Source organism: Homo sapiens, chromosome 9 (genome assembly GCF_000001405.40).
Source record: "Homo sapiens chromosome 9, GRCh38.p14 Primary Assembly".
NCBI lineage: Eukaryota > Metazoa > Chordata > Mammalia > Primates > Hominidae > Homo > Homo sapiens.
In genome coordinates this window covers 130,283,436-130,309,140 of record NC_000009.12, presented here as the reverse complement: position 1 = coordinate 130,309,140, position 25,705 = coordinate 130,283,436, and the positions used below count along the sequence as shown (strand labels likewise).

General features: G+C 53.0%; 1 protein-coding gene across 7 annotated transcripts in view, besides 2 other annotated features; it reads right to left on the bottom strand.

Moving 5' to 3' along the window:
- The window catches only part of HMCN2 (hemicentin 2), a 168,364-nt gene that overhangs the window by 124,983 nt on the left and 17,676 nt on the right, over positions 1–25,705 (bottom strand). For all 7 annotated transcript variants that reach the window (NM_001291815.2, XM_011518466.3, XM_011518465.3 and 4 more), the window contains exons 2-14: positions 24,468–24,538; positions 23,825–23,983; positions 22,831–22,953; positions 14,115–14,286; positions 13,369–13,475; positions 12,347–12,467; positions 9,853–10,116; positions 6,140–6,284; positions 5,533–5,654; positions 4,139–4,411; positions 2,871–3,012; positions 2,203–2,330; positions 1,575–1,688 (exon numbers count right to left, since the gene is read on the bottom strand). In NM_001291815.2, the coding sequence (NP_001278744.1) occupies positions 1,575–1,688; positions 2,203–2,330; positions 2,871–3,012; positions 4,139–4,411; positions 5,533–5,654; positions 6,140–6,284; positions 9,853–10,116; positions 12,347–12,467; positions 13,369–13,475; positions 14,115–14,286; positions 22,831–22,953; positions 23,825–23,983; positions 24,468–24,538 (1,941 nt within the window). The remainder of the gene's footprint in view (positions 1–1,574; positions 1,689–2,202; positions 2,331–2,870; positions 3,013–4,138; positions 4,412–5,532; positions 5,655–6,139; positions 6,285–9,852; positions 10,117–12,346; positions 12,468–13,368; positions 13,476–14,114; positions 14,287–22,830; positions 22,954–23,824; positions 23,984–24,467; positions 24,539–25,705) is intronic.
- Positions 6,961–7,763: an enhancer, noted in NCBI's record as "H3K4me1 hESC enhancer chr9:133063657-133064459 (GRCh37/hg19 assembly coordinates)". NCBI's record gives its function as "activates a minimal SCP1, AML or CMV promoter by ChIP-STARR-seq in naive H9 embryonic stem cells {active_cell/tissue: H9 hESC(naive)}" and the evidence as "EXISTENCE:reporter gene assay evidence [ECO:0000049][PMID:30033119]".
- Positions 19,132–19,700: an enhancer, noted in NCBI's record as "H3K27ac-H3K4me1 hESC enhancer chr9:133051720-133052288 (GRCh37/hg19 assembly coordinates)". NCBI's record gives its function as "activates a minimal SCP1, AML or CMV promoter by ChIP-STARR-seq in primed H9 embryonic stem cells {active_cell/tissue: H9 hESC(primed)}" and the evidence as "EXISTENCE:reporter gene assay evidence [ECO:0000049][PMID:30033119]".

Below are 25,705 nucleotides of genomic sequence, written 5' to 3'. Positions count from 1 at the left end.
ATTTTTATTTTATTTATTGTAGTTAAATATGCATAACATAAGATTGACGATCTGAACCACTTTTAGGTGTGCAGCCAGCTCAGTGGCATCCAGTGCATTCACACTGTTGTGTGGCCATCACTGGCCTCCACAGAACTGTTTGCATCTCCCCAAACAGAAACTCCATACCTATTCAACACTAACTCCTGGTGTTCTCCTCTCCCCAGTCCCTGGCGAACACCACTCCATCTTTTCGTCTCTATGAATTTGACATCTCTAGGTAACTCACATAAGTGGGATCAGAGAGTATTTGTCTTTTTGTGTCTGGCTGACTTCACCTAGAATAGCGTCCACCTAGCAGGACATCCATGTAGCACGTGTCAGAATCTCCTTCCTTCTGAAGATGGAAGAATATTTCATGGCAAGGCCACCTTTTAAAGTGGGGCTCTAGGGCTGGGTTGACGGGGTTCTTGGCCAGAATATGCAGTGAGGAAGGAGTCCAGAAGCCTGTGCCACCCACTTGCTGGTGACCCTAAAAAAAACGCTCAACTCTGAGCTAATATCACCTGCCCTGCCTTTCTCAGAGTCAGGGTGAGGCTCTGATGAGGTCCCAGGCAGCTGCTGCAAGGAATGGGAGGGGACAGTATTGCTGACCCCGGTTGACCCTCGAGAGGGAGCCCAGCGTACTGCTCCCAGAAAGACCTAGTGCGACCCCAGCACCCGTCCGTCAAACTCCAGCCTGGCAGCAGGCACCGTGAAAACGCTCTGCCCATGACCTCAGGGCCTCAGGACAACCCTGTCATTATTGCTGTCATTTTCAGATAATCACATTATCGTCGGCACTATCACTAAGAATGCCAAGCACAGCACATGTGCCAAGCTTGTTCTAAAACCTTTGCACATATGGCCAGGCACAGTGGCTCACGCCTGTCATCCCAGCACTTTGGGAAGCCGAGGCGAGTGGGTCACCTGAGGTCAGGAGTTCCAGACTAGCCTGTCCAACATGGTAAAACCCCATCTCTACTAAAAATACAAAAATGAGCCAGGCCTGGTGGTACACGCCTATAATTCCAGCTACTCCAGAGGCTGAGGCACGAGAATCCCTTGAACCCAGGAGGTGGAGGCTGCAGTGAGCCGAGATTACACCACTGCACACCAGCCTGGGTGACAAAGTGAGACTCTTGTCTCAAAAAAATCAAACAATAAATAAAACAAAAAAATAAAAAATAAAACCATATGTGCATAGGAACTCATTTAATCTTCACGCAACCAACCTATCTTTGATTTTCCAGATAAGGAAACTGAGGCTCAGAGATGCCAAGTCACGTGCCCAGGGTCACCCAGGGAAGCCGGAATTCAAATCTGGGCCTGGCTCAGTGCTGCTCTGAATACCTACATGAGCTGTGTCAACACAGGCTGGGGGTGAGGGTGGGGGAGCTGGAACCCACCAGCTCTGACACTGGCTGGGGGTCAGGGCGGCGGGGAGCAGAACCTTCCAGCTCTCCCCAGACTCCACATTCAGGACACCCCCACCTCCCCTCAACACCTTGCTTTCTGGAAAGCTGTTCCTTCAGGGCCCCTCCCCACCAACACACCTCGATACCAGATGACTCGGGGCGGGGGAACCCCAGATGCCTCACACACCAACACAGCCTCCTCCCCAACGGCCACCAGCACCACGGCATTTACAGCAGAGACCGACGGTGGGTCTGTGTGGGGAAGAGATGCAGAATTTGGGACCAACCTTCAAAGGTCATAAAGAAAGTCTTCCACGGCTTCAGGGAGCCCTCTCCCTCATCCCAACTCACCACACCGGCCTCCTTGCTGCCCCTGGAGCACCCCAGGTTCAATGCCCCCTCCCGGTCCCTCCACCTATGACCCTGTTCCCATAGTGACCCTAAGGCAAGGGTCACTGCCTCACAGAGGTCATGACCGAGTCCTGGGCATGACAGCCGCTTCTCCCTCGCCCCCAGCACACGTCCCTCCCTCGCACCAGGAGGCTCCCAGTTCTTTGCAGCACCTTCAGCATTGGGAAGCATCCCATTGGCCTGTGTGTGCCTTCTCCTTAGAATATAAGCTCCACCCAGACAGGGACCATGTGTTCACTGCCGTGTCCCCGGTGCGTGACAGGTAAATGCTCCATAAATACTGATGGATGGGAGGGAGGGAGGAGGGAGGGAAGGAGGCCCTTCTCCTGTAAGGTGATGCTTGTGGCCTGGGTACCTGTGTAGTAGAGGGTGACCGTCTCCTGGTCAGTGCCAACCTCATTAGTCGCCTGGCAGCTGTAATTCCCAGCATCCTCTGGGGCTACCCCCTGAATAATCAGGGTTCCCTGTGCGTCCACATGGATTCTAGAATCATGCCATAGAAACACATCGGGTCACAAAAGGGGTTGATCCACAATCATCATTAATAACAAATTCACTAACAATGCCACTAGCGACGACCATTCTGTACTGATGGCTTGCTCTAGGCCTGTGCTAAGCACTTTATGTAAATTTAATTCTCGAGGCTCAGAGAGGTAAGATGACTTGCCCAAGGTCACACAGCCTGAATGGTGGGGGGTGGGATTTGGGGGCGGGATTTGGGCGTAGGTCGGCACAGCCTGAATGGTGGGGACGGGACTCAGGCACAGGTCCACACAGCCTGAATGGTGGGGGCGGGATTTGGGCGCAGGTCCATACAGCCTGAGCTCCTGAGCGCTGAGCCCACACTGTGGCATTCTTATGTTTCCAAAGTGATCTCACTCTGGAGTCTCAAATGATCCCAGGAGCAAGGAAGGCAAATTCTCTTCCCCATTTACAGATAGGAAGGCCAAGGCCCAGAGAGGTCCCCTGGGAGTCCTGTCCACCTGCTGTGAGTCCCTGAGATTTGTGTCCTGGGCCCCTCACCTGCTGTCCTCTTGTAGGGCTTGGCTCTCACGGCTCCAGGAGATGTGGGGTGTGGGGTATCCAGAGGCTGAGCAGCTGACCTTCACCTCCACACCTTGGGAGAAGTGCTGGGAGCTGGTGTGGATGCTGACCTGTGGGGCCTCTGTGACCCAAAAAGTGGATAGGCGAGGATGAGCCCATCAGAGCAGCCGTGCCATCCCAGGCACCCCGCCCCGGGCTCTTCCCCTCCCATAGTCACAGATGGGCAAGACAGAGAAAGCAAAGACCCCAGAGGGCTTCAATCTCCCGGGTGTGGCTTCTCTGGGAATTGGGTAGACCAGGCGGCCCCTGAGCACATCCCCAGGCAACATGGAGGCTGATTTTCCAACAATCCCAACCCGGAGCCCTGTGCTCCTAGAACGTCCACTCCAGGCTGAGCGCTCTAGGGAGCCTTAGGGAGATGTCAGGCAGCTACCAGGGCTGGGGACGGCTCCTGTCTCCAGTGACCTTGAGGTTGACCCCAAGGCCTGCCCTACTATTGGCCCCAAGCTTAGGTTCTAACCTGGCCATTTGGAAACTAAGAACAACAGGCTGGTCAGACTCAAAAGAGCTCACAGGCCCGCGCATCCAGAAACAGCAACCACAGCCCTCCCACACTGGAGGCAGACACAGCTGGTGGATTCCCTCCTTCCTGCAGAGCCTAGACATAGCCTCAGAATCCTGCCCAACACACTCTGGCAGCCACTCAAGAGCCGCTGGCACAAGAGAGAATGCTTGTTCAACATGCTTGTTTTTACACTTGGGGAGGAGGCTCTGTCCAGATTCTGGGTTCTTAAAACTCCCAGATGGGTGCTCTTGGCACTGCCTCCTCCACCCCCATCTAGTCAGTGCTGCCCGATCTCTGCCAAATACATCTGACCTCTGAGCTTCCCCAAGGTTCCAGTATTCAGTCCCTGCCCTACCTATTGGGCAGGGTGCAGTGGGGAGTGGGGAACAATGGAGGGGCTCGATGGCACGGAAAAAGGACAAGACACAATTGAAATTGGCTTGGCGTACAGCAGTAGAAATTTAAGTTAGATATTAGGAGGAACTTCCCAGCAGTGAGAGCCATTAGACTTTGGCTAGGAGGCTACAGTATTCTCTCTCCCTGAAAGTTCAAAAAACACTGAAAAGGCTGCTATTGCCTGCCAGAGACAATGTCTGAGCAGAGGGAAGGACTCGCGGCTTCTGGGGTAAACACCAGGTCACGTGTTGAATTAGGGGAACAGCAGCAGCAGGATGAGCCTCACCTCGCACCAGGAGCCAGACGGATGCCCTTGTGACCCCATTGGCATTGCTGGCCACACACTGGTACCTCCCGCCGTCTGTGGGGATGATGCCACTGATCTCCAGGGACAGGTCAGCCAGCTGGGCAACTCGGCCCGTCGAGGCCGGCAGGACTCGCCAGTCCCGGACCCACGTCAGGTTGTAGGGGGCCTCGCCTAGGACCCGGCAGGATAGGACGGCAGTCTCCCCTGGGGACACGGTCACGTTGGGAGCAGGGACCAGCTGCGGCGGGGGGTCTGCAGGGACATGAGCACAGGAGGAACCAAGGAGCTGAGGCAAGGGAGGGGGTCATCGTGCAAGCCCTGGTGCTGCCCAGAACCCCACCCTGAGGTGCAGGCCCACCCGAACCAGATCATTCAGGACATGTCAGCTAGCAGCATAGGGTGACCAGCATCTGCTCACCATCAGGCATCACCCCTGTGGGAGGTCACTTCTCCCACCACCATTATACACCTGCCAGGGGCTGCACGGTACACGCCTGCTCTCCAAAATACAGCCAGTGCAATGTGCAACAAGCCGGACACCCATCTTCATGCCTCCGAGCTGAAGATGCCACGCTGAGGAATAAAGCCTTGGAAGTCTCCAGCCAGAGGAAGAGAGTAATGTGTTCAAAACGATTCTCTGTACCAACAGCAGGGCTATTTATAGCAGCCAAATATGCCCCCAAGGAGGAAAGCGCTAAGCAAACTGCTATCTGGATAGCAAAAAGCCACAAGAAGTGGCAAGATCAGAGACTGCTGAACATAGAAAAAAACCTAAAAGGGAGTAAATCAAATGGCAGAATGGAGGGATTACAAGTTATTTTGATCTTCTCTTGGGTTGTTTATATTTTTCCAGCTTTCCTACAAAGAGCATGTGTAGTTTCTGGCTGTCTATGTAGAGTGGCTGATCTTTCCACGCTTACGGGTTCCTTTTTTTCTCTACAAAGCAGCTTGCGTTCGTAATTTTTCAAATAAAGCCAATTTCATTTGGAGACAGTCTGTGGTGTATCCAACCTCCCCAGCTCGATGGCGCCATCCTGGCCGGGACTTGGAGGCACGAAGGTTGTCCCGACCACGAGATGGATGGCGGCCCCTGAAAGCCGAGCCCCGAGAAGTCAGAGTTGGGATCAAAGCTGGGCAGGGCAGGAAGACCCAAGCCAGGTCCTCAGCCTTCCTCCAGCGGAGACCCACAGGCCGTTCCTGGGTGAGACGGCCCCACATGAGGGGCAGCAGGCAGGTGGCAGCCTGGGCAGCCAGACCCGGCATGACGAATTGTCCCAGCAGCTGGCTGGAGACTCGCCTGGAGGAAATCCTAGGGGTAAGAACCCAAGAAGAGGGTAAGGAAGGGGTACATGGAGGGGCCCCAAGGGACAGACCTGTGACAACAATCTGGGCCTTTGCTCGCCCGGTCCCAGCCCTGCTGACGGCTGTGCACTCGTACGTGCCCTCCTCGGCCTTGGAGGCCCGCAGGATCTCCCAGCTGCTGTTTCCCGACTCCCTGCAAACAGGGAACAGTGGGAGACACACAATCACACTGACCCCCACTCAGGGTCCCCCCCGACTTCAGTCCCCTGAATCCTGCCCAAACGAGAGACCCCAATTCCTCTGTGAGATGCGGTAAGAAGACATACACAGCCAAGCACATGGAAATTCCATGACATGCTGTGTGACTTGGAGTCAGGCCCTTCCTCTCTCTGAGTCCTGGGCTCCCATCCTTCCTGCCCTGACACATGGGTTGAGTTTTCCAGGAGCTGAGGAAGGCCCCCGGCTCCTTCACCAGCTGATGGCCCAGCAGTGGTGGGAGTCTCGGAAAAACTCCTCTCCATCCCTGGCTGCACTGGAAGTCCCAGGCTGGGCTGCCCAGGAGGATAATGACAGAGACCAAGGTCTCTCTCCTGCCACCCACTCCCCTGAGATCCCTCCAGGGCCTCAGCAGCCAGGAGCCCTGTGGCTGGGGACAATCAGCTGCCGTGGGCCACTCACTGAAAGTGCCTCTCTTCGCCCAGCCTGGCTTCACCTCGCCGCAGCTGCAGCCGGAAGGGAAGGGCACTGTGCACCGAGCAGGAGACCAGCAGGGGCTGGTGCAGGTAGCCATGGATCCTGGGGGCCATGCTGACGAGGGGAGCGCCTGTAGGCGGGGACCAGGACTCAGAATGTCTCCCCACCGCCCCTTTGCCACACCCAGTGACACAGAGACCTGTAGGGATGCACCAGCAGCCAGGAGGCCAGGATTCAACCCCTGGCTCCCCTGGTCACCTCTCTAAGCTCAGTTTTCACCTCTGCAAAATGGGGTGATCATGGTACCATCCTCGTCCTGTTGTCCTGAGGAGCTGGAGGAGCTGGTGAGAAGTGGTACATGGGGAACTCATGGCACAATGTGTGTGGCATCACCAGCTCCCCTAGGCACAGCTCCTGGGGCTTTTGTGGTTTATTAGACTATTCAATTCAAGGTTGGCCAGCCTGGACCAGGCCCTTCCACTACACTGTCTCAACTGTATGAAATCTGATGAAATGCTACCAACTAGGATTAGGCTCCCCAGGGGTATGGGTGGGTTTGTGCAATTGCTTCTCCGCCTAGAACATCAGTTTTATCGAAATTTGTTAGAAAGAAGCCTTTTCATTTAAAAATGAGCCCACCAGTCCAGGCGCGATGGCTCACGCCTGTAATCCCAGCACTTTGGGAGGCGGAGGTGGGCAGATCATGAGGTCAGGAGTTCAAGACCAGCCTGGCCAACATGGTGAAACCCTGTCTCTACTAAAAATACAAAACTTAGCTGGGCGTGGTGTCGCGTTCCTGTAATCCCAGCTACTCAGGAGGCTGAGGCAGGAGAATTGCTTGAACTGGGATCCGGGAGGCGGAGACTGCAGTGAGCCAAGATCACACCACTACACTCCAGCCTGGGCTACAGAGCAAGACTTCATCTCAAAAAAAAAAGCACAGCTAGAGGATGGGTATAAATGCAAAATTCACACACATTTTTGAGATAAAACCAGAGACTTCAGTAAAATCTCATAGCTTGTAATGAGCCCCATGGGACCCCTCCCTGGCCCGAGCCTGGTCTTGGAGTGACACAGTCTCTTCCCTTGGCTATTGGAATTACTTCAATGGAGAAGTCTGAGAAACTGCCCCGCTGGGTCAGCCATGGCCCATCAGAGCTGGGTGCCCCCTGGCAAGGGCTCAACCTTTGTGTCACCGTCTCCCCATCCCCGCCAGCAGAGGAGCCCAGCAGAGATGCTCCGGGAATGAGACAATGCACTAGACCTCCTCGGAGCCCAGGCTGGGGATGGGAAGGCGGCGGTGACATCATGCTCCAGGCTCCCTGCCACATCTGTCCCGGGGGGGGAGGGGTGTCTGACCATCCAGCCACGTCCTCGGCTGTGTGCAAAGCAGTCGCCACTCACCCACGCACCCTGGGAGCCTCTGCCAAGCCAGTTTGGGCTCCCCATTTCCATGAGCTAAATGGGACCACAGGCCCACCCTCATCTCTCCAAACCCAGAGCCACCTGCTACAAGGCGAAATTCCAGCCTCCCAGACCTGGAGGGCGGGGAAGGAAGCAAAAATCCAAACCAAATCCCTTCCCCAACTTTAATCTAGAGCTGAGATAGAGAACAAAAGCCAGAGCTAAACTCCAAACTCTTGGATCCATCTGAAAGAACAGGGGAAAGAAAATAGAGGCTGTTATTCCCTCTGCTGAAATTCCTTCCTGAAAGTTCCTCCTCAAGGCTGCAAAGGCCAAGGGAAGAGAGGCCCCGGAACCACAGTAGGGGAGTGGAAGCTGGGAGGCTGGAAAGAAGAGGTCTCCAGCTCTCCTGCCCAGCCCTGCCTTGCCCCACCCAGGTCCTCAAAGTCCTCCACCAACCATGGGCACTGTAGGCACGATGGGCACCGTGGCCAGCCTCAAGAGCTGGCCCTTCTTCCCCTCCCTGCATCCTTATTTGAAGTGGACAGAGGAGGATGCCTCTCACTGAGATCCCCCACAAAGAAGTACTAGAATGTTAATGACATCCACCTTTGTAAGCTCCCCTCGGGCCACCTCCAGGGGAGGGAGACAGTGGGCAGGAGAAAGGCAATGAAGCCAGCAAGGAAGCCAGATGGCCAGTGGCCCTAGACATCCCTGTTAGGACCAGGGGCAGACCTGAAAGGCCAAAGATCCACCCTTCTCCCTGGGAGCTTCCAGCCTGAACGGTGAGACCTCAGGGACACACAGGAAACCAGCAAAAAGCCACACATACGGGAACCAACAGACCATGGCCAAAGATTGGAGGACAAAGTGACCTGTTCCTGCAATGATGTAACGGTAACAGCAGCTGCCACACTGGAGGGCCCTTGCCCACAAATGGATACATTCTGAGTGCAGCCTCTGAGGACCCAAATGCTGTCTTGTTGTGTGCATTAGCTTGGGCACCCCCACGGCAGCCCTGTGAGCTGGGTGGGCTCAGTTTCCTTATCTATGAAGTGGGGACACATCTCTGAAAAGCTGTAAGCATCAGTGAGCTAGCACATGGCAGGAGCTTGGCCCAGGACTGCCCCATGGAAAGTGTCCAAATGGTGACTCGGATGATTGTGATTATGACAGTGATTGTGATTATGGAAGAGCAAAAGTCCATGTCTGCCCTGCCCACTGCTGTGTCTACAGTGCCTAGCACCATGACTGGTACATAGTAGATACTCAAAATGAATGCTGAGTAGATGGATGTGTGGGTGGACAGGTGGGTGGACGAATGGGTGGATAGATGGATAAATAGATGGATAGATAGGTGAATTAATAGTGAATGGGTGGGTAGATGGATGGGTGAGTGGATGAATGAATGGATAGATGGATGGGTGGGTGGATGCATGAATGGGTGAGTGGATGGATGCATGAATGGGTAGATGGATGGGTAAGCAAATGGGTGAGTGGATGGGTGAGTGGATAGATGGGTAGGTGGGTGGATGCATGAATGGGTGAGTGGATGGATGCATGAATGGGTAAGTGGATGGATGCATGAATGGGTAGATGGGTGGGTGAGTGAGCGGGTGGGTGGATGGATGAATAGGTGAGTCAATGGATGCATGATTGGGTGGGTGGATGAGTGCATGAATGGGTGGGTAGATGGATGGGTGAGTGAATGGGTGGGTGGATGGGTGAGTGAATGGGTGGGTGGATGGATGAATAGGTGAGTCAATGCATGCATGAATGGATGGGTGGATGAGTGGATGAATGGGTGGGTAGATGGATAGGTGAGTGAATGGGTGGGTGGATGGGTGGGTGGATGGGTGAGTGAATGGGTGGGTGGATGGATGAATAGGTGAGTCAATGGATGCATGAATGGGTGGGTGGATGAGTGGATGAATGAGTGGGTAGATGGATGGGTGAGTGGATGGGTGGGTGCATGAGTGGATGAATGGGTGGGTGGATGGGTGGGTGAGTGAATGGGTCAGTGCATGAATGAATGGGTGGATGGATGGATGAATGGGTAGATGGATGAATGGATAGTTGACTTGATGACTTTGTTCTAAATCCTTGAGCTGAGAGCCACATCTGAGCATCTTAGTATTTAACATAATGCCTTATAGGGAATAGCTGTCCATAGAAGCTTAATGAACAAACACTTTCTAATCTAATTTAATCTAATCCAGTCAGGGAAGGCTCCAGGATGAAATGGGACTCTGAATGAGCCAGGGGCCTGGGAGACAAAAGAGCCAACCACTCACCTGGGGCCACCCCACTGTAGGACACTCCAGAGACACGAAGGAGGGGGTTTCCCTCATGGTCCTTGCCCTTCACCTTGAGGTAGAAGCGCTCCTTGGGGGTGTGGAAGGGCGGCCCGCCCCACAGCTGATGGGTGGAGCCATTGGAGAGGGGCTTCGTGGGCAGAGTCAGGAGGGGCTTCCCTGAGCTTTGTGCCAGCTCCACCGAGTCTAGGCGGCCGGGTGCCTTCAGGCCCGTGGAATTGATCACCAGGGAGATGGGGACTCCTGCAGAGGGAAGGTGAAGAACAAAGTGCTGGCGTCAGTGTCTGCCTCTGTGATCCCCCTCAAGTAGGGGCCCTCGAACCACACCCCAGGGGTCCTGCTTGCCTGGCCCTTCCTACCTGGTCCCTCCTTCCCTACCTACCCTGGTGCTGACCAACGCTGGGGGTGGGATAGGTAGATAGGGACCTTGCTACTGTCCGTGGTGCTGAAACACCACAGTCGTCCAACCACGGCTTCCCAATGGCTGCATCCCCTCTGACTGCACTGAGTTGGAGTCCCATGGAGTAGAACTGTCCCCCACCCCATTAACTCTGGTGTGGGCCATAATCAGACAGGCTTCAGGGAATGGCCTCAGATAAAGCAAACACCAAGTTTGGGGACTCCAACTTCTGACCAGACTCTCCCCGTGTTCAGGTTTTCTTTGGTTTTCTTTACTGTCTTGATGGAAATGTGGTACTTTTCACACTATCCCAGAAGAGGTAGAACTGGACTCCAATTTCATAATGTCTTTTTAAATTTTCTGTCATCCAGGCTGGAGTGCAGTAGTGCAATCACAGCTCACTGCAGCCTCAAACTCTTGGGCTCAAGCAATACTCCCACCTCAGCCTCCCGAGTAGCTGAGACTACAGGTATGCACCACTATACCTGGCTAATTTTTTAAATTTTGTAGAGATGGGGTCTTGCTGTGTTGTCCAGGCTGGTCTTGAACTCCTGGCCTCAAGCAATCCTCCTACCTTGGCCTCCCAAATGTTTCTCTTTAAAAAAAATTATCTTGGCCTGGCATGGTGGCTCATGACTGTAATCCCAGCACTTTGGGAGGCTGAGGCAGGCAGATCACCTGAGGTCAGGAGTTCAAGACCAAACTGGCCAACATGGCAAAACCCTGTCTCTACTAAAAATACAAAAATTAGCCAGGTGTGTAGCGCGCACCTATAATCCCAGCTGCTCGGGAGGCTGAAGCAAGAGAATTGCTTGAATCCAGGAGGCAGAGGTTAGAGTGAGCAGAGATCGCACCACTGCACTCCAGCTTGGGTGACAGAGTGAGACTCCATCTCAAAAAAAAATTATCTTGGATATACATCTTTATCAAGAGCAGAAACCCAACAGGGTCGCATGTGGCCTCCTGCACCCACTTCCACTGGGGACAGGCCAGTTTTCAGTCCCCGCGCCATCACTACACATAGGATATCTTAGCTCTCCTGGCTTAACAGTAGAATCAAAGTTTCCCTGCTTCTTCCCTTTCTGCTATCGGCAAAACAAACAAACTGAGCAAGCAGCCCCTTTTCACTTTCAAGATGTGACTCCTGGTCCTGGCAGGAAAACCGGCAAGGGCTGACAAGAATAACAAACATTAGAGCAGACAGACTCGAAAGAAAGCACTAAAGGTCTGGCTTGCACCATTTTTGGTCACTGTTCAGGGTCCAGAGTCAGCCTGACCTGATCCAGGCTCCTCCCAGGAGGAGCTGAGCTGAGCTGGTCCCTGCAAAAGTCTCCAAATGGCCCCATGGCAGGGACTATATTTTCCCAACTATAAATTGAGACCTTTGATCTGGCCACCAGATGGTATTTTCTGGCGTGGAGCTCAGGCAGCCCGCACCAGAAACCTGCCTCGGTGCCCAGGCTTCTCCCAGCAGAACCATAGCGGGCATGCAGGCATCCTCGGACCCTGGTGGGTGGCTTCGAATTGGATGCCTGTGCCTCCACCCTCAATATCCCCCCCAGGCTCCTCCAACCTTCCTCAGTCTTGGGACACCCAAATGTCCCCCAGGACATTCCTTCCTTTGGAGTAAGGCACTGCTCTCCTTTTTGGTAAGCCATCAACTCACTGGCATGTGTTCTTTCATTGAACTAGCCTGCTGTTCACTGGAAAACTGAAGAAGTAGGACTCTAGGCAGATATGTTTTGACAAAAAGAAAGAAGAAGGTGTGAACTCAATAATAAAGGGCACAGTGTAAGTGTCCTCCAGGACACTGACTGTGGAGGCACGGAGGATGTTCTAAAGGTAAATGTCACAATGTCACTTGGGCTGGGGCTAGTGGAAAGAATGCTGGCCTGGAAGCTCAGTTTACATCACTGTGGTCTGGGAGCACAGTCCCACTTGGCCTCCTGCAGGGTCCCTTTCACAGTCACACACAGCCAAGCATTCCCCCCACACCTCCCCCCTACTTCCCAAAGCCAAGCCCCAGGTCTTCAGAGGCAGCTCAGCACTGTCTGTAGGGTCGGGGTACTGTACCTTGCAAGGGCCACTCGAGGGTGTGGTTGAGGTCCAGCAAGGGCTGAGTGGAGAAGCCGGCTCGGAAGTCAATGTTGCTGACGCCTGTGATCCTCACTGAATGGCGGCCACTGCTATAGACCTAGCGCAGGCCCAGGTCTCACATCACCAGAGGATGGGACCCCAGCACTCCAGCTTAGGGCAGGAGGTGACCAACCTGACCCAGCCCTGCATCAGCAGCTGGAATCCTCCTGCTTTTGTAGACACATGGGCAACTTACCTCCTCCCAAGGGGCCCAGCACGATGCTCCCCAAATGAAGGAGCTGAAGCCCCAGCTTACAACCCAAACCTGAGCAGCCCTCTTGAGGCTGTGTTGCCCCTCAGCTCGCCTCAGCCCCGGCAGGCCCTGTCTGTTCCCGTGAATGTCTAACTCCCTGCCTTGCCCTCCCCATTGGCATTACAGCTCTTGGCTCAGAGGTGCTCAGAGTTTGAAAGGCAGGAGGTGGTACTGCCACTTTACCTGCAACACCTAGCACAGTGCCTGCAGAAGGTGCTCAATAAATGTTTGCCTGGTCAGCAGGAGCCCCCACTCTTCCAGGGCAGCAGCCTGCCCATCCCAGGATGCTCTGTTGGGAGCCAAACTGGCCCACAGTCCCTGGCTCCCAGCACCCTGTAGATTATAGCAGGGCCCTCCTCTTCCTGCCAGCCCTGCCCCACTGAGCCCTCCCACCAAAGTTGCTGTTGCTTCTTTTACACATTCTTCACAGCTTGGTTATGCACCTCTGAACCCTGAAGTCATTTCTCCAAGTCCTTCTTAAATGTTCCCAAAGTAACCCCAAACCACTCTATTTCTTCCTACTGGTACAAGGCAAAATGCCCTTTCTCTGTCCTTGACCCGTTACTTCTATTGATACGACCACATCACCACCCACACTCTAGCCATCAGCTTCCCGAGGCCACAGGCTCCCCAGGGCAAGTAGGAGGAAGATGGTTCCAGCCCAGTAAAGCTAGTCGACCTTTCTCCTGCAACCCAGTGCCCCTACCTTGATGGACCACAGCCCCGGATGCTCAGGCTTAAAGGCTACGACCTTGGCCGAGTCAGGGATGTTGAGAAGCACGTTGAGGCCCTCGTCCTCCTGCAGGATCCTCCCTGTGGAAGCCCCAAGGGCTGCTCAGTCCCTAACCCTTTGCTGGGGGTGGCAGGAGCCCCGCATGTCTCCAGGAATCCACAGTACACCAAACACTAGCCTCAGTCTTCCCGGAAGTGACAAGGGGTCTTGGTGGTCCTCGGCCACTGCCTCACTCCACGCTCCACCCTCAGGGATCCCCAGGGGCAGACTGTGTGCCCGGCCTCTAGACCTGGGTGCTCATGACATCCTCAGAACACCATGGGGTCAGGTGACCATGTCTGAATCACACTTCCCCTGACTCTGTTGACCTTGATGAGCACTCAGCACCTGGAACCCCAGCTTCCCATCTGTACAATATGCTACAAGTTCTCACCACCATGAGAATCCACTGGGGTACCACGGAAAAGACTTGGGGAGAGTCTCACGATGCAGGGACCGCCATTACTTTAATTCCCATCGCCGGTTGCTATGGCCCTCCTGCTTCCTCGCACACCATGGGCGCCCTCTCTCCACTTCGTGTCCCCCCCACCCCATATTTCCCTATTCCTGGAGCCTCATGTCTGAAGCCCTGTCACCCTTGGTCTCTTTCTTTGTCCCATCCTGGGCTTCCACCTCAGTCTTGGGGCCAAAGAGGAGGCCAGCCCCGGGGTGGTCCATACCCAGCGGATCTTGGACTTCAATCTCAGGCCCTGGCCCACTCAATGAGATGGTGACCTCCTTCAGGCTGGGGTCAAAGGGGAGTCTCCATGTGTGCTCCCCCTCCTCCTCGTGGTCTGTGGACAGCAGGTGCACCTTGGAGGCCTGGATCGCTGACTCCACCCACTTCAGCACCTGGAGGCAAGTATGAGGAGCTGATGCCGGCAGGTGCCCACAATGTCTTCCCCCTCCCATGGATTTTAGGCAGCATACAAACTTTCCAGGTCGCCCAAGGCCACCCCACTCCTCCATGTCCAACACCAGGCCCAATTCACACATTGTGACCCTCCTGGCTTCCATAGGCTCCAAGCTGTGAAGCCTGAATTGAGGCATTCGGAGGACTCAGCACAGAGGGAAGGAGCAAGGGTGTGTCCCTCTACTGGGAAGACTCTTCCACACTTCTCCACCTGGCCTCCTTCCACAGCACCCACACTTCCTCCAGGAAGCCCTCTTGGTGCCTCTTACACACAATGAACCCTGGAGATCTGGAAACTCCCCCAGACCCATGTAGTTCATGACTGATTATCCCAGGGGCCTCCAACTGTGCTCCCACCAGGGCGCCACGTTCCCTAAGCAGGACTGAGAGGCACTGCTGCAAAGACTTCAGGTCTCTTTCCAGTCCACAGAAGTAAGGAATTGCTGGATGGATTTTTGCAATATTGAGAAGACCTAAATCCTTGGTTTCTATAATTGATTATTCATTCTAAAGTCTTACATCTTTTGGACAAGTGCCACTGAGAATCAGATAAAAGGTAAGGACCCTTTGCCTGGGATATCATCCTATCCCTTAGGTACACATTTAGGGTATGACTTCGGGAGGTTCCCAAACTCCCTCAGAGATACTCCCCCTACCACAAACTGAGCACAAACTTATTTAGTTTCTCCAAATCCTGACCATGGCCTTCAAGACCCTAGGTTCTATGGTCCTAGGCACCTATGCCAACCCAAGGTCACTGTGCCACTGCCTCCCCCTGCCTGCTACACTGGACCCCACCCCTCCCGCAGGCAGCCCCCACCCATACATGCCGTGTTCTTTGCAGGAATGCCCTGCCTCCTCATCGACCATCTCCTTGCTATACTTCAGCTCGCTGCTTGAAGAGCCCTCTCTAATCCTGAAAAGGCTCTGTTCCCTGATACATACTATTTTGCAGCAATCTGCACTCCAGTCATTCACATTTATTGGATTCGGGCTTCTCATCCTTACTGGCCTGGGATCTCTGTGGGGGCAGAGAACCTCTGCTGTGCCCATGTGTGTCTCAGCCCTGAGCTCACTGCCAGGCACAGAGTGAGTGCTCAGGAGGCACCTGCTGGCTGTGTGAGTTCAGTAGGACATGCATCTCCTGGGCAGAGCTATCAGGCTGACCTCAAGTCCACCTCTCAGGCACCTCACTCCATACCCCTCCTCTCCCCAGCTCACACCTCCTCCTTTGCAATAGCCAAGTCACCTAGATTCCAGCAAGGAAACCAAGACAGAGGGAGAGGAAGGGAGCCCCTTCAAGTCTGGACCTTCTCTTTCCAGGCCAAGTTATCTCAAAGAGCGTCCATCCTGTGCAAACCCTAAAACTGAAAGACAGTGAGCTCAACCATAAAATCGGTACCACAACCACAGAGAGAAAAGAACATCTCCAAGTGAATTCCAAACCCGGCGGTTCAACTATCCTTTCTCAGTAGGAGGACAACAAGAACCGCAAAAAAAAAAAAAAAAAAAAACTTTAGTGAGTAGATTTTATTTGGAAGAACTATCAGCACTGTGATTTTGAACCCATTTTATATATCTTGTTGGATAAAGCAAATAAGTAAAGATGTCAATATTTTCAGAATCAAGATTTTTTTCTTATAAACAAATGTAAGAGACAGCTGCAAGTATCAAATCAAATGAGCTAAGTAAAAGATCTACAATGTGAAATTTGAATTGGAAATATCAGTATAAGTTCTCCAGATAGAGATAGATGATAAATTGATAGGTAGGTATATAGGCAGGTAGGTAGGTAGATAGATAGATAGATAGATAGATAGATAGATAGATAGATAGAGCAATTGATCCAGAAGCAATGATGGCCCAAAGTTTCAATAACAATGATCACCACCAGTACCTAGATCTTGGTTTCTAAATACCATTCCCCACGAGGGTTCCTTGGAGAAGTGGCTAATTCCAGGTCTGGGGCAGGCAATTTATAAGGTGAGCCTGGGATGATGGGTTATTCCATAAAACAAAGAAGTTCTCAAAGACAAATAGGGACATATCAAAAGGACATAGGAACCAGCTTGAAGGAGCTCCCACTGACTAAATTTGGGACAACTTGAGCCCAAAAGAGAATAATAACTGTGCTCAATTGAAACACATTGAATAATATAATCCATGTGCACATAATGATACTCAAAAAAGAGAAAGCAAAATTCAAAACAGTAAAGCCTCCCTTGCCACAACTGAAGTGACTCCTTAATCGAAGAGAAAGAACTAAGTGTGATTCCGTGCCTTTTCGACAGAAATTGTACTTCAGAGAAACCAAATTATCCGTCACTTTTGATGCATAAAAGTTCTTCTTCTTGGAAGAATGCCCACTCATAAATGTGGGAGGAATGATGCAGTTAGGAAATCATCATTTTGCAACCCCTAATGAAATATCATTTCAGGCAAGAGTCCTCAGTGGATGCTAAAACTGTTAGATGAAAAGTTGATGGGAACTAGATGTCCGCACAGAGCGAGAACATTACCCACTTGAGTCATAAAGGCAAAAACGCAGCCCAACCATACAGAGAGCTGGCTGTCGCCACCCTCACCCAGTCATCAAACTTATCATCAGTAATAGTAGGATGCTCAGACACTATTTGCCTCCCGGTGTGATACAACAGAAGACACACTCAGCACCAACTAGGAAATATTCCTGCCAAAAAGTTCAGCCTTCATCAAATCAGACCTTTGGACTTATCCAGTTTGAGGGAAACATAGGGGATTAAAAAAAAAAAAAAAGTGAATGCCACCACAAGGAAATAATCAGAAGAATCCAGAACATGGGACAGGGTACAAATCCATGCCTCTTGAACAGCTTAGTGTCATAAAAAAAGAGCTGATGGCTTCAGACCAAAGAGGACTTAATAGACATAACAACCAAAGGAAATGCACAGCCCTTGATGAAATCCTGATTTGACGAAAACTGTGATCAAAGACAGTTTGAAGACAGGGAAATCTGAACATGGGCTATGTATAGAATGATACTAGGAAACTCATTAATTTTATTAGACGATATTGTGGGTTATGTTGAAGACTATGTTTTTTCAGAAATCCATGCTGAATTATTTATAGATAAGGTGTCATGATTCAGCAAAAAGTATAAAGAGATAGATAAAGCAAGTCGAGCAGAAATGTTAACAATTGTTGAATCTAGTTGGTAGGTGTGTTCTTTTTACTTTTCTGCATCTTGGAAATTCTTCATAGTAATTTTTTATTAAAGTAAAGTCATTTAAAAATAACAAGTATGCGACCGGGCACTGTGGCTCATGCCTATAATCCCAGCACTTTGGGAGGCCGAGGCAGGCGGATCACCTTAGGTCAGAAGTTTGAGACTAGCCTGGCCAACACAGTGAAACTCCATCTCTACTAAAAATACAAAAATTAGCCGGGTGTGGTGGCAGGCGCCCGTAATCCCAGCTACTCAGGAGGCTGAGGCAGGGGAATTGCTTGAACCCAGGAGGCAGAGTTTGCAGTGAGCTGAGATCATGCCACTGCATTCCAGCTTGGGTGACAAGAGCAAAACTCCATCACAAACAAACAAACAAACAAAAATCAAGTATGCAAGTATGCTGTGACTTTAATGTACACCTGAACAATCACAGTGGTATACTGTTGCTTGCCAACTCCAAGCTAAGGGAAACGCTTCCTGGAAAGCTGAAGAAGAAAGGCAAAGCCACATTCAGCCCCAAGTAGAAAAAGGTCTGTGATTGATTAGCAATGTCTGCCATGAATATGGGTTTTAAAAGTGGTGTCTTGCATGCTACTTATTGGTCATTCTTGCTCTAAATCATAGTCCTTCAGCTCTGCTTACCATGTGATCTTCTACAAAAAGGGAAAGGAATCCAAAGAATTGGAAAATGAGGTTTTTGGGTTTTTGTTTTTTTTTTTTTTTTTTCAGACTGAGCTAGAAGATATGTGCCTAGAAGTTTATGGCTAGATTTCAACTATCACGTGACAAGAATTCTGTATTCTGAAAATGCATCTGTTTTTATAATTGGAGCTACTTCATTGTTGTGTCTTGCCTAGCTTTCTAAGTAATGTGTCTCTTGAAAAGGTCCCACCTGTCTTAGCCAAGGAATGAGGACAAGGTTCTTCGTCCATGTGGGGGTGGACAGAAGGGAGCAGTGGCTGAGGACTCCCAGCTGGAGAGGCCCACAGAAGCCCGCCGAACATGTGAGGCAACTCCTCCAACAGCAAAGAAGCAGGTCCGTTACCACCGTCCCCTTCCCCCGGGCCAGGCCTTGTCAGGGGTCAGGAGGGAAGCATCACTGAGCAAAGCACCAGTCGACAATTACCCAGAGGAGTGACACCCGCTACTGTGTCGTAACTGCTGTTACAAGCTTGTTCTAGGATGTTCTGATGGAGGGAAGATGCTCGGCAATTCAGACTACTGAACCACAGAGAGGGCTGGGACACGAGGCAGAAAGCCAGTGACCCACAGGATGGCCTGCCCTGTAAGCATATCCCCACTTGGGAGTTGGGGGGCTGACCCTCTTGCCCACAGCAGGGCCAGACCCCCCTGTAGGGCCAGGCCTGGGGACATTGCCTTCTAGACCTGTGGTGCCAGGGCTCCAGCGCAGAGAGCCTTCATTAAGCCAGCTCAATGTTCATCTGGTGAAGGCAATGGCTTCCAGATGTTAGAGGGGCTGGGGGACCAGCGAGCCTGCGATGCACTGGGGCTCATCTCTGTCACCCATGGGGAAGGAACGAAAAATCTGGCAGTGCTCCCCCAGCCAGATGGCTGCTGCTCGACCCTTCGCAGCAGATAAATCATCCCCGAGGATCCTCCCAGAACATTTGACAGCCAGGGCGGCTGAGGAAGCAGGGAAGGAAAGCCAGGGGGCGAATGGGCCCCCGAGGCACAGATGAGAACACAGAGGATGGGGCTGTGGGTCCTGGGCCCTGTGCCAGGAGGCTTACCGTGAAGTGACAGAGAGAGAACCCTAGTCAGGGGGTTTTGCCCCTTGCCAGCTGGGCACCCTGGGCACTCGCCCTAGCAGAGAATCTTTTTCAGAGAGAGTTCCTAGTCTTCAGGGGGCATTGATGGAACTGAGGGACATATCCTGGGCTCCACATTGAAGCACGGGGGGGTGGGATGGCATTTAGCCATCGTGAACTCTTACCAAGGGCTTCCTCTCTCCCTGGCTACCATCTCACCAGGTAGGGGCTCTCGTTAACCCAACTGCACACAAGAAGAAAGTGTGGCCCAGAGAGGTTGAGGACTGTGCTGGCAGTCACCCTGCAGGTAAGTGGCAGGGCTGCGAGGTCTGAAGCCAGGCCTCTTGCCCCGGAGTCCAAACCCTAACCACCTCCCCCTGGGAGGGGTCCAGGATGAGGTCATCTCTGGGCCCCTGCTGATGAATTTAATCAGAGCCACCTGGTCAGACGCTCCCCCAGCAGCTCCCCCTCACCCCCCCATCTTCCGCCCGCCCTTACTGTCTTAGAAGGACACCTTTCTCCTAGCAGATGCACAGAACACAGGCAATTCACCCTTTGTGCCTGCTGGTGCTGAACATGGGAAGGCTCCCAGCCCCCAGAACCAGCCGTGCTGGAACGTGTGAGTTGTGGGGTGGGGGATGCAGAGGAGAGCAAGATGCCCAGTGCTCTCCCAGGAAAAAAAGACAGAGGGGCTTTCCCAGGCACGGGGGAGCTGCAGGACAGGCAAGTTTGCCCAGCTCTGCTGGCCCCACCCCCACCACTGTCGGGGCTAGTGACAGTGCGTTGAGCTGTGTCTGCCAGGGAACTTGGGGGAGGCTGCTCTGGCACAGCAGGTGCTTGGACTTGTCTAAGTCTTAATCAAAAATGCACACCTTTGGGGCAGGTTCAAGGGGCCACGTTGCCTGCCTCTGACATGATCCCCTGTCTGTTTAAGGATTATAAAAGCTCCAAATTTCCCCTACCAGGGAGAGATCCTCACCTTCCTTTAATTACCCTGCAACCCCAAGGGGTGATCCAGGTACTAGTGAGGCCAACTTCACAATTGAAAAAAAGTGAAATGCTCCAAAGCAGTAAGCCCTAGCTGTGACTGATGGCCAACTCTGCACCAGCACTCAGAGCTGCACCTGGCCCGGGGCAGGAGCTCAGCAAACAAGGGGAAGAGAATGCATGACGCCTCTTGGGCTGCACTGGATGCACTCTGAAGAGGTAAAAGGATTAATGACACACGCATAGTTTGGAGCCTTTTGCAACTTCTGGGGAGTTCTCCCAGCTGGAGGCCCCTTGGCTAGGGTGAAGGCACCGTTCATCTCTCCTGGGAGGGTGACCGCAGCCCTGGCTGTCCAGCCACCTTCCCAGGCTTGCCGAATGTCTGGGAACATCTGGAAGAGGCTATGTCCAAGGCATTAAGCTAAAGAACAACAGAGCTCCATGCCCAGGAAGGAGAGGGTTCCAGGCCCCTACTTAGAGGTAGCCAATTCTGGCCACTGGTGGTCCTACTGAGTCAGACACATGCTGCCCGGCCAGACTGTCACAGCAGAAAGCTGGCACCACAGCTGGGAGTAGTGGATTTGCCCAGGTTCCCAGCCTCAAGGAAGAGGCTTAGGACAGCCCAGCCTCACACCTGGGCGAGTGGCCCCCATCAACCTGCCCAGCTGCCCTGTGTCTGATTTGCCCCTGGCAGGAACCAAGTTCCCATGCAATTGGCCAGATAGTTCTCCCCAGGAGCAAGAACCAACCCATCCTTCCACTGTAAAATGCCTCCCACCCTTGCTTGGGTGACTCGGTGCGAGGGTAGGCTGACATGCCAAAAAATGAAGCCTAAAGTGTCGCAGAGAACCATAAACGCCATCTGTCAACAGGGAGTTAAGGCACGCTAATCTAAACACACTCCTGGAGATAGCTCTCTGCAGCTCGTAAATATACACACACAAAACCCTCTCCCAGAGGCAACAAAGCAGGACTGGCTCAAGGCCATGGCCAGCCTCAGACACCCTGCCTCTCTCTCCTTCCTCTTACCAGGGACTTGAGCACAAGGGACCCTGTCCATTCACCAGCTATTTACCCAGCACCTGCTCTGAGCTGGGAAATGTAAAGTGCTGGGAAGGCTGTGGCCATCGGGACTCACAGCCCAGTCCCTGGAAACTTCACGGCCTAGTGACATTTAATAATCGCACAGTTATAAAGTTATGATTATGCAAAGTAGCACAGGGAGCTGGGAGGGGCACACAAGGAGACCTAATCTTTTTTTTTTTTTTTTTTTTTTTTTTTAAGACAGAGTTTCACTCTTGTTGCCCAGGCTGGAGTGCAATGGCACGATCTTGGCTCACCACAACCTCCGCCTCCCAGGTTCAAGCAATAGGAGACTTAATATTGAAAGGAAATCAAGGAGGGTCTCCATGAGGAGGTGCGCTTAAGCCAAGACTAGGAAGGTGAGAAGGAGCCAGGAGAGGAGGAGCTCGAAGAATGGGCCGCACCAGCAAAGGCCCCGGGCGGGGAGGAGCGTAGGACATTGGAGAGATAGCAGAGAAGCCAGCAGGGTAGCAAGTTTGGGCAAGGGGATACCAGGGGGACCAGAAAGGCAGAGGGGTCAGATAAGGGGCTGGACATTCTCCAGGGGACAAGCGGGAGGGACCTGGCGGTGAGAGGTGCCTGTGCGGGATCCAGTGGTGTGTGGGAGCCACTTGTGTAGGCTCCGGAAAGCTGAGTGTCAGCGTCACTTCCCAACTCTGACTTGGAATCAGCCGAGGTGGGAGCATTTATACCACGGAAATGGGTGTGCTTGTCCTTTCCAGAGAGAGCGTTGTTCATCATTTCCCAGCTGGCCCCTGAAAGGATCCTGTGCTCCTGGGAGCGGACGGGAGTGTGGGGTGGAGGGAAAGCAGGGACAGCCCTGAACAGGATGATACCATGGAGCCCCGAGAGGAGGAAGGACAGAGCCCTGTCCAGGAGCAAGGCTGAGTGGCAGGTGCCTGCGGAGCACTGGGCTCTGAGTGAACGCAGATCCCGGCACTGTAGGCCACACAGCAAGCCAGCCCCTCCCTGCCCAGTGCCCAGCACCACTGCCTGGACCTGAGAGCTCCTGTGTTCCTCCACCCACCGCAGGTTCCCTGACTCTGGGGAGACACTCAGAAGATGCCCCATACCCACATTTCTGCCACAGTCTCTGGGGCCACCTTGTCAGCCTGGACCAACTGCTGAACCCAGGCCATCCCAAGGGGCTGCGTCAAGCCTCAGCCTCTTTACCTGCACAATTTTGCCTGGAAACACGGAAGCACCTGCCTTTGGGACAGGTGGAAGGGTTTGGCGAGATAAGATGATGTGGTGGCACCTGAGCACAGCGCGTCCTGTGCCTGCCACAGGTGTGCACCCAGTGCTGCTCAGCTATATAGATGTCCCTGCATCTCTGGATGATTGATTGTCATTCAACCACCTGGAGCCACAGGGATGGTCAGTGTCCTCACCGTGCCCGAGTGATGGGCTCCGGGATGGTGCCCCCTCCCAGTGCTCACCTCTGTCACTTGCTGCTTGTCCAGGTGGAACACCTGCCCAGAGCTGGTGGCAGCGATCTCCTCATAAGCCAGGTAGCCAGGATGGGTGCGGTCGCCACAGTCCCCCGTCAGCACAAAGACCACCTGGAAGATGGACGTGCAGCCTGCTCTCGACTTCCCTGGCCGGCTGCTTCAGGGGTGAGCAGCAGGACCTCGACCAGGGTGGAGTGACCTGGAGTGGGCCCTCTCCTCTGTCTGTCACATGTATAGAATGACATATGACACATGAATAGAAGGGAAAATAGAAGTGCCCATCTCATGGGGATCAGGAGCTGATGCAGGACAAATGCTCAGCACAGGGCCAGGAAAACAGTAGGTGCTCCATATTGGGAACTGCTATTAAATCAACAATAAAGACGAGCGTGGAAGTCGACTCATCTCAGAGTGGCCCCTGGAGGCTGCAGACTTAGAAGAACCTTGAAGAACCCAAGCAAGTTCTAGACGTGGCGGCAGAGAAGCAGTCCCGGCCCTGTGGATCTTGCCCAAGGATGCCAAAGAGCAGGCTCTTCTCCCTCCCTTGATCAGGTCCCCTCTCCCAGCCCTCACTGCAAAAGCCAGAAGCAAGGGATCCGACAGGTCTTCCAAACCCTGAGACAATGGCAAAGGGGACAGGAACGGCAGAGAACAGGAGCAGAGGCGATGCCAGGAGGAAGACGGGTTGCCTGGACTTTGATGGGGGTGAAAGGAGTAGGTGGTATGGTCTCCAACAGGAACAAGCTGCGCCAGGGAAGTGTGAGCCCTGGCCTGGGCCTACAGCATGAGAGCACACTCACACTTCCTGGGCCAACTTGGTTCGGAGGCTCTGGCCATGCATGGCAGAGGCTGGACCCAAGGCTGTGGAAGAGAAGTGCCCAGCTCTGCTCTCCAGGAGGTGGCTCAGGTGGTGAGAGAGACCCCAGCTTCCTCGGGACCCCCGGGGGACCCCACTTTGGGCCCCCACAGCCGGCTCACCCACCTGTGATTGCTTGAGCTGCAGGAGCCGCAGCAGCTCTTCCTTCTTGTGATAGTCTTTGGCGCGGGCATCCGAAAAGACGTAGATGAAGGATCCGGGGTTGGCAACCTCCACGGCAGCCTTAATGGCCCCCACACTCATCTCCGGGCAGTCACCACCTCCCTGGAGGGCAGAAGCATGTCAGCAGCTGCCACCTGCCTCCTCCAGATGGGACCCACCCAGGGACATCTCCAAAACCACTGGGCATAGGGAGTCACCTTGAACTGTCACCTCCTGCCCACCCAGTCACTTTCTTCCCGGAGACACGATATAACATCCAACCTGCTTTAACTGTAGATAAGCAGCATCATTCATCCATTCATTCATTCATCCATGCAAGAGTGACACGGGCCCACCCCCATGGAATCTGGCATGGAGGGCAGTCACTACACCAATAAGCCCAGCACCGTGACGAGTACTTCGAGTGGGCAAGGATGGAGGGGGCCATGGGAGCAGCTAACAGATGGCCTAAGGAAGCCACACATTCACCCAGGAGGAGGGAGAGGTGGAGGCTGGGCAAGAGGGAATCACTCGAAGCTACCTCCCCAAACCCTATTGGTGGGACACAGACTGGAAAGAGTGGGACAGAGGGTCAGGGGCTGCCCACCTGCACGTAGAGTTCTCTCAGCTCCCTCTGAAACACTGTGGGGTCCGCCGTGAGGGTCACTGGGCCAATATCTGTGGAGAAGAGAGAGGGACGCCCAGATGGGCTGGGACTCCTAGACACACAGCCCGGTGGGCTGGTTTGTCGGCGACATGAGGATGGATGTTCAGAGGAGCTGAGGCTGGCACACAAGACGGGGAGAGATCAGGGAGCAGCTCCCGGAGCTGCAGGATCAGACCAGAAAACAAGGTCACACCACTCTGCCCCATGCCCAGCACCAAAGCAGGACCCGAGCTCCAGGGAAGCAGAGGTGAGGCAGAGGGCAAGCCCCAGCTCCTCCCTCCGGACAGCAGCTCCCAACCTTTGGTGACCAAGACTCTCCTAAGAACCCCCACCTCCAACATCCCACCGGCTGCCAGTCAGTGGAGAAGGAATTCTGGGAAGACAAAGAAACAAGAAGCAAACAAACAATCCATTCTGGGACACACAGCAACTCTCCAACACCAGCTGCTCAACAAAAGAAAAACCTTCCAGAAACCCCATCTATGTATGAGCTCATTTTAAAAAGAACAGCAATAAAAATGACAAAGATTGACTGCACTCAAGGTTGGCAAGGATGTGGAGCAACTGGAACTTTCATTCACTGCTGGTGGGAACACAAAATGGTTTAACCACTTTGAGCAACAATGGAAGTTTCTAAAACGTTACACATGCACCTACCATGGGGTCCAGCCATTCCACACCTAGGTATGTCCCCAAGAGAAATGAAAACATATGTTCACACAAAGGCTTGTACTCAAAGGTTCATAGCAGCTGTATTCACAATAGTCCAACACTGGACACAAGCCAGATGTCCATCATCTGGTGGAGAGATAAACAAACTGGTAAATTCACAGAACCAGGTTGTCCTCAGCAATAAGACAGGACAACTACCAATATAGGCAACAACAGGGGCACCTCCCACGCGAGAGAAGCCAGACGCAAAACAGCACACACAGTATGGTTCCATTTATAGTAAGTTCTGGAACAGTCAAAATTAATCTAAGGTGAAGAAAAACAGAACAGAGGTTGCCTGAGGAGCTTGACTTGGAAGGAACTGTCTGAGACAGAAACATTCTATATTGTGATAGGAATGTGGGATCCTCAGTGTATCATTTGTCAAAAGTGTGCAGCTAAGATCGGAGCATTTCAATGTATGTAAATTTACCCCATAAGCAAAGCACTAGAACAAATGATCGTCA